The sequence below is a fragment of the Homo sapiens genome, chromosome 5, assembly GCF_000001405.40.
Source record: "Homo sapiens chromosome 5, GRCh38.p14 Primary Assembly".
In the NCBI taxonomy this organism is placed as follows: Eukaryota; Metazoa; Chordata; class Mammalia; order Primates; family Hominidae; genus Homo; species Homo sapiens.
The window spans coordinates 95,735,684-95,749,588 of record NC_000005.10 but is presented as its reverse complement, the minus strand read 5'-3'; the positions used below and the strand labels follow the sequence as shown (position 1 = coordinate 95,749,588).

The following is a 13,905-nucleotide window of genomic DNA, read 5'->3' as shown; positions in this document are numbered from 1 at the left end:
ATCCACCTTTCTACTCACTGCTCATCACTATAAATGAATGCAACAAAAGTTTCTCACAGTCATCGATAATATCAATATTGTGAGTATATCTTCTTTAACATTGTAATATTAATGTTTCTTTATATTATTGGGTGAATAAAAGCCATTTATATTTGATGGAAATTGGCAGCATTTATATTTGGTCTTTATTTTACCCATTTACACAAATGGTATTTCTGTAGTCATCTGTGGAACCTCAACATTTTAACATGAATTTACATAATGAATATTGGGGCGTATTGGAAAGAGTACTTGGTGAAGAGCTAGGGAACCGATGGCGGATGCCAAAGTGCTCCTGCTTAAAGTAGGTTTTCTTTGCTTTTAACTTCTCATCCGTGTATATCAGATTTGTCTGTTGAGAGGAGTTGCTTCTTAGAGGTTTGGAAATGTAGTTTCTATGTCAGCAAATTCTTAAATGATACAACTCCACAGTATTCTCCAAGGACATTACAGTCCTAATACTATATGGGAGGTGCTATGTGTTAACATCAGCATCAAAATGACTGCAGAACCCAATATGCGCCACGGCAACCAAGCAAGCAAATTTGCTCCCACATATCCAACAAGCAGCTATTTATATAAGTAGTTCCTCTGAATCTGTTTGAGCCACAACAAGATTAGGAGGATATAAAATTTTGCCAAAGCACACACAGAGGAAGAAAAATTATTCTTTCCAACTGGTAGATGGAAATGAAAGAGAACTTTCAGGGCCTGCTGGCTCAGGCTGCCAGGCTCATTCAGCTGTATAAAGATGACTATTAAAAGTGGCATCACAGGTTTGGTTAAGTAAACATGCTTTTGATACATACAACAAAGACTACTAAAGATCACCAAATGAAAAATTCCAAAATATCATATTAAATAGAAAAGGTTCATTTGGAGAGAAAAATAAAATTATAATTTTATTCTGATAAAACCTTTGCCACTCACTCTCATTTTATTTCTCAAGGTTAAGTAAGACAAACCATGCTTTTAAAGCTGAAGTTCTAACTGATGTTCTACAAAATACCTAAAGAGGCAACCTGACAAATAACTTTATACTTAACAGGAATTTCCACTTACCACTCCTCCAAAATACTTTCCTATGTAGAAGTCATCAAGGCTGTGGAGTTCAAGATAGGTCGCTCCTAGTTCTTTTGCAAGTTGGATCCCTTCAGTTGTACTAACACAGCTCCCTCTGTCTGAGGTACATAGTGGGCATGTACAAGGTAACTCTTCTGAGAAAACAAATTTTAAAACAAAGAGTTTCGAAATTAAACAGGAAAAAAAAGGTACACAGACAATCTGAACATTAAACAACAAAGAGCTCATACTAGAGCCACAGTTCAAAAGCATTCAGTATATCCACTACCCACTAAACTCTGAATACAAAGTGTCAATGACTCCCTAAATAAACAAGCATTCACTGCAAGAATAATAAATAGTATTTTAGAAAATAGAAAAATTTAAAAGTAGGTGAATGGATATTAACAAACAACCAGTACTCGTGGGCCTGCTTCTTTTTACACAACCTTGACATCCTGAATATCAGTATTTCTAGGCCAGTAGAAAAGAAGATAAATGTAACAACTTGATTGCCATGGAGAGCATGGAAAACAGTGGATTTGCTTTTTTAATATAATAAACTTGAAATCTATTTACAAAGTTTGAGTAAACCTTACACTTCTATTGTAACAGAACCTTCAATTTGACCTGATTTTCCAGGCAACAAAATTGTCACTCTCTTTGTAAACTTCATAGGAAGTACATTCCTATTAATTCAGACATTTCAATCATTAAACTCTAACGCATTTGACTTCAGAGAACAAGTTCAATCATTCTTTATCTTTTTCTTTAAGATTAAAAAATTAAAAACTGAAGAAATAAAAAGGATTAACTCAAAAAGTGAAAGTCCCAAAATTCACAGTTGTACCATGTATACATCTATGGCTAGGAAGGTGGTAGAACAATCTATCTATAAGAACATCCCTAGTAAGGCTAAAAATATATGTTTAACTCCATATTTGTCAGCCAGATTTGTTATGTATCGTGACCACAACATCAGATGTGTCACCATTCAAAAAGGCTGCCAGATCAAAAGAGGGTAAATTCATTTCTAGAAATGCATGTTGTTGTAGATTGGCTTCCCGTGGGGAGGCAGACTCTAAGATGAAGAGTGGTGTGGAGAAGGTTAATTGGGGAGTGATCTTGGGAATAACGCTTCTCAGGGGTGAGGAATGCGGGACTGGGTAGAAGGAAAATTGGAATTGCAGTACTGTTGGAACAGGGACCAAAGCTGATCCTACAGGGGGCTCTGGAGCTTAGATGGCCTTTTAGAGTTGTTCCTCATTTGGGGAAAGGAGGTAGCTGAGCTGTATCCTATCCCTAAATCGACCAGCAATCAGACAAGGGCTGAGCCCCTGGAGCAGGGATAACTTGGGCAAGGCAGCTCCCATCAGCACAGAGTAATGCATGGAAAGGGGCTCAGATGTGCATCAGCAGCAGCCAACAAGCCCCAATAACTGAGGGAGTAAGTACACTGGCCCTGAAAGGACATTTGAGCAACTCCCCCATCGCATATGCAGCAACTTCCCTGTGAATGAATTGCATACAGATGGAGCAGATATATGTAAATATCGGGTATACGCTAAATATATTTAGTGCATATGCATACCATGTATGTAAAAATGCACATACACATACACACAGACACACATGGCTTAGATAATTTTAGCTTCACTGAAAGCATTTTGGAGCTCAGAAGCCATATATTCATATTCTCATTTTGCAGAGGAAGAAACTGAGGCTCAGAGAGGTTATGTGGCTTTTCCAAGTCTCTTTGTGGGTTAGAGATAGAGAAGCAATCATAACACTGCTACTTGCTCCACCTGATAATAAAAGTGACACCAAAAGGAAAAATAAAAATATAGTTTTAGTAGAGAATTACTGATTCCAAAGATACAGTGATTTAAAAATTAAACTTGAGTTCTCTAAATTATGCCATAAATTCTAATTTGAGATTTTACTTTTACTTTTTCTAAGATCATTTTAAGTTTGGAGCAAATAAAGTTTTCATACAGAATTTAGCCTATCTTGAAAAATAACATGTTGGTATTTCACATTCTTCACAAAGCCTTCCTAAACAGTGCCTTTGATTTTCTGAAAACAGAGGCCTTCTTATATCTACAAAGGTCTCCTTATGTTGATGGAATGGAGTGGGTAGCCAGATCATCTTATTAAACTTTATTTCTGGACAGAAATCAAGCAGAGACAGGAGTGTTTCAAGTGGAAAAGTGAAGTGAACATAATGTAAAATAATTTTTAACAATCTGATTTGAGGGAGAAAATACAACTAATTTCAGGTTTATGCTAGCAGGGTGGTTTTTCCACTGTGCGTGGTTGTAAGCAACTTACCTACACATGTTCCTAGAAAGTGCCCCTGTATCTCTTCTATGTCACTGAAGACATTTGTTTTTGTTCACTCACCAGAAAGGAAAAAATGTCTAGTCTTTCTACACCATATTATGCTGTAACTGTGTTGCCACTTAGCTACCTACCCTTTATCTGGATTCTAAAATCTTACTTCTTAAAACCTTCTTGAGAGGCTTTTGTTTCTTAATAGTTACTTTGTGGTTCTCTTTTGAACCATTCCTATATTCTTCAATATCAGTCAGCTATATGATCTAAGATTCCAAGTAGAAGTCTGGCTTGTATTGGTTATAGCAGTAGAACCGATTCTAAATTAAATTAATTTACATTAACCATTTAATCAGGAACAAGCAGAGGATTCAAACTAATTTTAAATTGTGGTGCGGCATGGTCACGTGACTCTGAATGAGTGCTACACTTCTAGCTAACATTATAGTCTTTTTTTCCCTTATATGCTTAAGATGTTATCATAAAATGCTGTCTATTTTTTTTTAAAAGCAAGCACAATGTAACTCTGACATTCAAATGGATAACATCTTTGAAAAGTAGTGGCTTTGGGAACCTGCAGGTTAATTCTTACAACATTGCCACTGCTTGGAAGTTTTAGAAATTCTTTTCAAAAATTCTAGCCTAGTAAAGGACCAGGCTCTACCAGAGCTTCAGAAATAACTGAAAGGATGCCTGTCTTTGGGAGCTTAAACCTATGAATACATTCTAAGCACATTCTGAAAAAAAATTCTCTTTTCAAGATAGATTCAATATTTAGTATAAGCCGAAAATTTATTCAGAGCCAAGTATGATGAAGACATCCATAGGGTCAAAGTTGTCAAAAATGTGTAACAAAGGAAAGAAATGAGACTGGATTATACTTGGCTGAATTCTTTTTAACTTTAAAAAGAATTTCAAGAAGCTGAGCATGATGGCGTGTGCTTAATTCCAGCTACTTGGAAGGCTGAGGTGGGAGGATCCCTTGAACCTAGGAGTTGGGGGCCAGCTTGGTTGACATAGCGAGATCCCATCTCCATTTTTTTAATTTTTTTAAATTTTTATGTATTTATTTATTTATTTTGAGACAGGGTCTCACTCTGTCGCCCAGGCTGGAGTGCAGTGGCATGATCTCTGCTCACTTCAACCTCTGCCTCCCCCAGGCTCAAGTGATCCTCCCACCTCAGCCTACCTAGTGGCTGGAACTACTGGTGTGCATCACCACACCTGGCAAATTTTTGTATTTTTCCTAGAGATGGGGTTTCACCATGTTGCCCAGGCTGGTCCTGAACTCCTGATCGCAAGTGATCCTCCCACCTCAGTCACCCAAAGTGCTGGGATTACAGGCGTGAGTCACCGTGGCCAGCCCCATCTCTATTTAAAACAAAAAACAAACAAACAAACAAAAAGTTAAAAAGAGTTCCAAGGGAATTACCAGGAGAGCACCCAACACAGTTTCATGTATTCCAAGGGATGGATGGGGGGAAGCCAATATAGGTCCTCGAGTTGAATAGCCAGATTTAGCTTTGTAATTACTTTGTAATTACATCTTGTATGGCAAATTAATTTCATCTTGTTAGTGAAATTGATTTTTTCACTTACTCAGATCATCCATAAAACCATTCACTCATTGAATAAACGTTTAGTGAGTACCTACCACACATCAAGTGCCAGGGATATAAAAATGCAATGATATAAAAACTCATAGTCAACTGAGAGAAGATAGACATGACTGCAAACAGTTATAATATAACATAATAAGCACTGAAATAAAGATGTCCAAAGCCACCACACAACAGAGGAGAGAAAGTTAACTGTCTGGGGGGATTACGGAAGGCTTCACAGAAAGTGTAATGATTTAAAAGATAAGTGTGAATTTGCTATGCTGATATGATAGGGGCTGTGTAGAGGGGCACTACAGTTAAGAATACAGCATGTACAGGGGACTGGATGTGAGAAGAAAGGAAAACATTCATTTCCAGTTTCAAGATGGAAAGCTAAGCCCACACTGTGATCTCCCCTCCCTGCCAAATCACAGAGATGATGAAATAAAGGGGGAAGGGGGGAGGAGAGAAAGAAGAGAGGGAAGGAGAGAAGAGGGAAGGAGAGAGGGAGGGAGGAAGGAAGGAAAGAAGGAAGGGGGAGAGGGGCCAGGTGCATTGTCTCATGCCTGTAATCCCAGCACTTTGGGAGGCTGAGGCAGGTGGATAACTTGAGGTCAGGAGTTCGAGACCAGCCTGGCCACTATGATGAAACTCCACCTCTACTAAAAATACAAAAATTACCCAGGCATGGTGGTTCATACCTATAATTGCAGCTACTTAGGAGGCTGAGGCAGGAGAATCACTTGAACCTGAGGTGGAGGTTGCCATGAGCTGAGACTGTGCCACTGCACTCCAGCCTGGGCAACAGAGTGACATGCTGTCTCAAAAAAAAAAAAAAATGGGGGGGAGGAGAAGAAGGGAGGGAAGGAGGGAAGAGGGGAGGAAAGAAGGAAGGGGGAAGGAGAAAGAGAGGGAGGGAGAAAGACAGGGAGGGAGGCAGGAAGGACTGAATACACAGCAACACTCAAAAACTAGAGGGGAAACCTCATCAGCCCAGAAACTAGGAGTGCTTGAGAGAATGAAGGCAGGCAGTACAGGACCGAAGAGGCCTCCTGAAGCTCTGAGTACAGGCTCACACTGCAGCCACACCTAGAGTGCTCCCTGCTCAACAATGCAGGGAGCAACAAGGAGGAGGCGGCCCAAAGGCAAATGACTGGGGATGAGTGGGAGAACCCCAGTGGAAGCAGCCAAGCCTGTTGATCCTGGGTGTTTTCCTACTTACACCCCCATCCCCAGACAGCAGCTGGGCAGAGAAAGAGGAAGGCATCAATCCAACAAGGAAAGTCAACTGCAAAAGTAGGCAAATTAAGAATTCCCCAATGTTTAAGAAGTATCCATACCATAAAATAAAATCTCATCAAGTAGAACGACTTATAATGCCATCTTAAAACCAAACTTAATAGAAAAATCAAAACTGAATTATTAAGCATCATTAATTATCCTGAGAGTTTTTTTTATTTATTTTTTATTTTTTTATTTTTTGAGATGGAGTCTCGCTCTGTCCCCCAGGCTGGAGTGTAGTGGCGCAATCTTGGCTCACAGCAACCTCCGCCTCCCAGGTTCACGCCATTCTCCTGCCTCAGCCTCCCGAGTAGCTGGGACTACAGGCGCCCGCCAGCATGCCTGGCTAATTTTTGTACTTTTAGTAGAGACAGGGTTTCACTGTGTTAGCCAGGATGGTCTTGATCTCCTGACCTCATGATCCGCCCGCCTCGGCCTCCCGAAGTGCTGGGATTACAGGCATGAGCCACTGCGCCTGGTCTGAGAGTTTTTTTAAATAAAAGTTTGCATCCTTAAGATTGGAACAAGAACTTATGAAAACAGCCATTAGAGATCTGGTATGAAAAGCTTTTGAAATAAAAAATTTAATAAGGCAGAATAGCAGAACAGACCCAGCAGAACTAATGTGTGAACCAGAAGAAAAGGCCAAGGAACTCTCCCATAATGCAACACAAAGAAATAAAGCAATAAGAAATATAAAAGAAAGATAAAATAATCAGAGAAGAGATCCAGAAGTTCCAACATCAGTCTAACAAAAGTCCCAAAAGAAGAGAATAGAGAAAATGGATGGATGGTGATATCTGAAGTCACACAGTTAAGACTTTCCTAGACCTAAAGAAAGACATTAAGTTTTTCAAGTAGTTCAGTGTGACTGATACATAAGGCAGGGGATTGTGCCCTGCAAGATTATAGAAACAGTCAGAGGCTACCTCATGAAGGATCTTGTATTTCAGGTAAAGATTTTACAAGAAAAAGTTATTGAAATGAGATACGAATACCAGATTGAAATAAGGGCATCAGTGCCCATAATTTAAATAAAAAGTATAATCCCTAGCTCTAGCCAATTAAAGGGCGCAGAAGTAAAGACACCTAAAGTCATGAGCATCCTAGAGCCCAGACCTTGGTTTCTAAATATCATTGCCCCCTAGAAGGAACCAGAGTTCCTGAAGAAATGGCTGATTCTAGGACTGGGATAGGCAAAGTCTGAGCCTGGAATATCTTGTGCCAGAAAATAAGGAAGGGGCTAAAAACTGATTAGAGGTAGCTTGAAATGACTCCCTGCAAGCAAATATGGAGCAATGTGAGCATCCAAAAGAATAATCAGAACAGATCACAAAATACTGAATTTAAAATAGAAATCCATGAATCATAATAATTCTAAGAGAAAAATTTGGGAGCAGAGAAAAAGGAAAGCTCCATTTACAGAAGAATATCAACCAATAAGTATAGGAAGAACGATAGAAACATCACTATTTTGCAAGCACATTTATCATAAATGAAGGAATTATGCAAACTAAAGGGCCTGGGCTCATTAAAAATGTTCATATTATGACAGACACGGTCCCTCCCCCCAAACCCACTGGGCGTACTGCTCCAGATTAAAAGAGATTAGAAGGCAGATGTGGTCATGCATGCCTATAATCCTAGCTACTTGGGAGCCTGTGGCAGGAGGATTGCTTAGGCCCGAGTTCAGACCAGCCTAGGCAACACAGCAAGATCCTGTTTCTAAAAAAAAAAAAAAAAAAAAACAGAAAGAAAGAAAAAAAAAAGAGAATTGAGAGATATAACAACTAAATGTAATGTGTAATATTTAATTGCATCCTGGATTGGTTAAAAGACAACAACAATGATAAACCCCAGCTATAAAGCACATTATAAGGAAACAACCGGGGAAATGAAAATATGGATTCTATCTCTTTTTTTTTTCTTTTCTTTTTTTTTTTTTAGTCAGAGTCTCGCTCTGTCGTCCAGGCTGGAGTGCAGTGGTGCGATCTCGGTTCACTGTAACCTCCGCCTCCTGGGTTCGTGCCATTCTCCTGCTTCAGCTTCCTAAATAGCTGGGACTACAGGCACCTGCCACCACGCCTGGCTAATTTTTCATATTTTTAGTAGAGACCGGGTTTCACCGTGTTAGCCAGGATGGTCTCGATCTCCTGACCTCATGATCCACCCGCGTCGGCCTCCCAAAGTGCTGGGATTACAGGCGTGAGCCACTGCGCCTGGCCAGATTATATCTTAAATAATAGTAAAAATGTAATAGTATGTTAGATTTCTTGATTGATGATTGTATTAGGCTTAATAAGATAACGGCCTTGTTCTTAGATGATACATGCTAAAGTAATTAGGAATAAAGAAATCTCATAATGTTTACAATTCACTCTCAAATAGTTCAGCCAAAAAAAAGTGTGTGTGTGTGTGTTTATAAAATCTAGGGTTCAATGTCTTATTCTTGTCAACTTTCTTAGGTTTGAAATTTTGCAAAATAAGAGGCAAAGAAGAAAGTTCTCAAAGAATTCAAAGCATTGAGCGCCATGATCTGACTTGTATTCTAGGATAACTATTCTGAGAGAATTTATTTCAGAAAGAGACAAACCAGGAATAGCACACCAGAGGCCAATTTACCATAAAGCTGATGAAGCTCAAGCTTCAAGACTCTTTTCTTGTGGATCCTTTCCAAGCCCCAGGAAGAACCTGAGCAATATATCTTCACATGGTCATATTCTTTTGTAAAATTTGCAAACTAAGATATTTAGTCAAGACTATTGTCTCTTTCCACTCCAAATCACTTCATCTTGTATCAGGCAGCTCTGGAGTAACTGTGGGCATTTGGGGGATGTTGCCAAAGGGAATTTAACCTTAGGCTTAATGAACTATTTGTGGTTTATAGTCACTTCCATGTATAGTTGAGTGTGTGATAACTGATAATCAGATTCCACTGATTATCATTCTCATCTCTATAGAAAATATCATAAAGTGGTTGTATTAGTCTGTTCTCATGCTGCTAACAAAGACATACCTGAGACTGGGTAATTTATAAAGAAAAGGAAGTTTAATGGACTCATAGTTCCACATGGCTGGGGAGGCCTCATGATCATGATGGAAGGTGGAGGAGGAGCAAAGTTACATCTTACATGGCAGCAGGCAAGAGAGCATGACCAGAACTGCCCTTTTATAAAACCATCAGATCTCATGAGACTTACTCACTATCATGAGAATAGCACAGGAAAAACCCGCTCCCATGATTCAACCACCTCCCACCAGGTCCCTCCCATGACACATGGGGATTATGACAATTCAACGTGAGATTTGTGTGGGGACACAGCCATAACCTATCAGTGGTTATCATATGAAGAGATGACCAAAGACTATGGTCACCCAAAAAACATAAGAAAAGTTGAAGAAGTATCAGGCTGTTAAAAAGATCTGTTGCCAGGTGTGGTGGCTCACGCCTGTAACCCCAGCACTTTGGGAGACTGAGGGGGGCAGATGGCTTGAGTCTAGGAGATGGAGACCAGCCTGAGCAACACGGCAGAATTTCGTTTCTATAAAAAAACTGGCTGGGTGTGGTGGCACGTGCCTGTAGTCCTTGCTACTCAGGAGGCTGAGGTGGGGGGCATCGTTCAAGCCCAGGAGGTCCAGGTTGCAGTGAGCTATGATCATGCCACTGCACTCCAGCCTGGGCAACAGAGCAAGACCCTGTCTCAAAAATATATACATACATTTAAAAATGTCTGTAGTATTTGACAACTTTTTAGTTGTAATTTGTTGTGCTTTCACTTATCATTCTAAATATTTACTTTTGTACATATATGTATCTGTTATTTTGTGGGTTTTTTTCCTTATGAAGGACCTCCCAAATTGTGTAAGTTTGAGGCCCTACAAAATCTGAAACCATCCCTTAAAGAGACCAAAAAGAAGGCCACCATGACAAATAACTAAATGACTAGAATGCGAAATCCAATGGAGATGAAGAGAAAGTAATGAGTTTGAGATTTGTTTAAAATGTAAAAGCAAAAGGGCTTCTTAATCAACTGGATATGCGGAATCGGGCTGGGTCTAGGATGATTCTTGTTTGGGTGAATGGATAGGACTGGCATCATTCACCAAGACAGGAAATTTGGCCAGAGGAAGATGATGTCTATGGTGATATGTGCCAGGAGCAAGACTAAAGCCAGAGAGACAGACTGAACAGTTATCGGTGTTTATATAGGAGAAGCCAGGACAACAGATTAGCAGGTTAATGGTTTGGCTGAAGAGTAAGAACAGGTGAGGTCAAAGGACGGAACCCTGGGAAACAATTCTGCTGTGTGTGTGTGGGAGGAGGGGAGAAAGGCAAAGGAGACAGATAGTTAAAAGAACCAGTAGCTTTATTAAATGGAGGGAGAGGTATGTTTCAATAATTTCAACAAGAGATAAGTATTATTATCTCTTATCTCTTCGATAAGAGATAATTGTTATTAAAGTGTATTAAATTTGGCTAACGAGGACATAAGTGGTGTCTTAGTCCGTTTTGTGCTTCTATAATGGAACACCACAGACTGGGTAATTTATAAAGAAAAGAAATTTATTTCTCACAGTTCTGGAGGCTGAGATGTCCAATATCAAGGTGCTAGCATCTGGTGAGACCTTCCTGCTGCATCGTCCCATGGTGGAAGGCAGAAGTACAAGAGAGCTCACAAGACAGAGGGCAGAAGGGGGCCAAACTCATCCTTTTATCAGGAGCCCACTCCCATGATAATTAACCCACTTTAAAGATAATAGCATCAATCCATTTACGAGGGCAGAGTCCTCTTGCCCTAATTACCTCCTAAAGTCTCACTGCCCAACACTGTGCCATCACATGAACTTTGGGGAACAAATTCAGACCACAGCAACTGGAGACCCTGAGGGAGAACAAACTTGGTGCACTTGTGAAAGTCAAAGTCAGACTGTAGCGGACTGAAGAATGAATAGGAAATGGACTCAGGAAGTGCAGATAACTCTTTTATGAATCATGACCAGAAATAAAAAGAAAGATAGGGAAGTAGAGGGGATATGGGGTCACGGGTAGGTCATGCCTGCCTTACTTGTATCTACTAATGCTATATATATACCTGCCCTCTGACCCAACAATCCCGCTCCTGGGTAACGACCTAAGCATCCTCAAAAGAAGAATGGATAAATAAATTATGGCATATTCATACAATGGACTAATATATAGTAATAAAAAGAACAAACTACAGATAAACACAACATGGACAAATCTCAAAAGTATTATGCTAACTGAAATTAGCCTAACCTAAGGCACTACTACATACCATATAATTTCATTTGTATGAAGTTCAGAAATAGGTAAAACTAATCTGTGTTGTTAGAAGTCAGAATAGCAGTTACCTCTGAGGAGGAGCGTTATTAACTGGGAAGAGCATGAGGGAGCCTTCTCAAGTGCTGCAAATGTTCTATACCTTGATGTATGTGGGTTGCGTGGCTGTATACATAGGTAAAAATGCATTTAGCTGCACTCTAAGATCAGTAAACCTTATGTCCTTTACTTCGCAATACCTCAATTTAAAAGTTTTTAGAATAATGTGTAAAAATAAAATTTTAAAAATAGCTTTACTAGGAAATACCACTAAGAAGATCTGTAAAATACCACCAAATCAAACTGAATCCTGAGTTGGCCCTAAGATATCTGACAATAATATGCACAGCAGCAATGGCTGAAGCAGCCTGAACCCAATGAATCTATCAGCCATGGAATAAGCAATCCTTTCTTTTAGGCAGCACTGTCAGTGTTTCCAGCTCACTCATTGTTATCTACCTAAAAATCCTGCTCCCAAGCCCACATCTTCATGTGAACAATCTATCCTTCCCAATCAGGTAGACCTTCAGATCATCAAAAAGAGTTTTCTAGGGCTCAGCATCAGCCTAATACCTCTCATATGTCAAAATAATACAATTGCTGACTTCCATCACTACTGTAGAAGAGCCATTTAGAAGACAGATTTGCACCCAGTGGAATCACAGCAGAAGTTCATGATCCTCTCCTTTGTTGTTTTTTTATCGTATCAAATGATGAAGCGATAGCAGCTGGCATTGAACCAAAGTCATTTTGGTTTTCAAAAACAAACCCTATTATCCATTAATAAACTTAGCACTATTTAAAGTATATATAATATTTGCATGCTCACTACAAAAAAGAATATTAAATACTTACCATTTTGTCTGGTACCAACAGCAGCAATAATTACTGGAACTGAATTTAATGCTCTTTTTATCACTGGAATATAATTATCCTTTACTTCATGGAATGAAAACTTGTCATTAACGTTGTATTTGATCACAATGATGTCAGCGCCCCCAATTAGATTTCGAGAAGTGTACCAATCACTGTCAAATATGTCCTAAACCAAAATGCAAATAGCAATCTTTAGTCTACTTATCGTCCAATCAATCCTGAAATAATTTATGACATTAATTTTTGGAATTCATAAAAAATTATTTTAAAATAAGTAACTACTTGAAATTAAAAGTGTTGCAGTCTGCCAACTCTCTTTTTAAAAATGTTTACTTACTCATGTAGCCTGGACAATTATGTAATGGTTAAACAGGAGAACCTGAGAATTCTTGAGAGTCAGATAAAATAAGCAACCTCTTTCACTATTTGCACTTAAAAATAAGCCCTTTGTTTTAAAATTACACTATATTTTTATCACCTCATAAATTCAAAAGTGTAACATTATGGCATTAGATGGAAGAGCAACAGTATGAGTAACGAAGCTTCAAAGGTTTTCCTCTGACCCAGTTAGACACTGCAGGATTTTCAGTGTTCTGAACTGCAATACATTTTAAATTCTGTGAAGTTCCATATACTTTATTCATATTTTCAAAATTCATGTATACTTTTCAACTTTATCCATCCTTTGGACAGTACTGTATATAAAGAGTATGAATGTGGGGTGAGGGAGAAATTCCTTTACTAAAAAAAGAGATACTGTGTATTACAAGGTGTTAACATGGTAAGGAATATATTTTCAATTCACGTATTTTGCCTACATAAATTAAAAATTCAGGATAAACTCTTCTAGTTCTGAAATATTTACTTTTGTGCTACAGCTAATAACATTTATATTTATTTAGAACTGGGGCCAGTAAGTAATTTATTACAAACACTATTCCTTAAAAATATAATGTTTTGATTTTTTTTCTGTCGACCAGCATGGAGTCCAGTGGTGCGATCTCGGCTCACTGCAGCCTCCACCTCCCAAGTTCAAGCAATTCCTGTGCCTCAGCCTCCCGAGTAGCTGGGACTACAGGTGTGTACCACCATTCCGGCTAATTTTTTTGTACTTTAGCAGAGATGGGGTTTCAACCACAATGCTCAGGTTGGTCTCCAGCTTCTGAGCTCAGGCAGTCTGCCCACTTCGGTCTCCCAAAGTGTGAGGATTACAGGCATGAGCCACCGTGCCTGGCCTGGGTTGATATTTTACATATAATTTTTCAGTTTCTGTATGAATAGTGATGTAAGGAAAATATCTTTAGGTATCTTAACTCCACTACCAAATAATGTACAAGTAGTTTTCTTCTCACATTCTAGTTAACTATTAAT

At 39.0% G+C, this 13,905-nt stretch overlaps 1 protein-coding gene across 3 annotated transcripts in view; it reads right to left on the bottom strand.

Annotated features, from left to right (window-relative positions):
• The window catches only part of RHOBTB3 (Rho related BTB domain containing 3), a 78,738-nt gene that overhangs the window by 46,773 nt on the left and 18,060 nt on the right, over window positions 1-13,905 (bottom strand). For all 3 annotated transcript variants that reach the window (XM_017009237.2, NM_014899.4, XM_011543279.3), the window contains exons 3-4: window positions 12,514-12,700; window positions 1,102-1,256 (exon numbers count right to left, since the gene is read on the bottom strand). Coding sequence is in view for 2 of the 3 variants with exons in the window: in NM_014899.4 (NP_055714.3) it covers window positions 1,102-1,256; window positions 12,514-12,700 (342 nt within the window). In the remaining variant the exon portion in view is untranslated. The remainder of the gene's footprint in view (window positions 1-1,101; window positions 1,257-12,513; window positions 12,701-13,905) is intronic.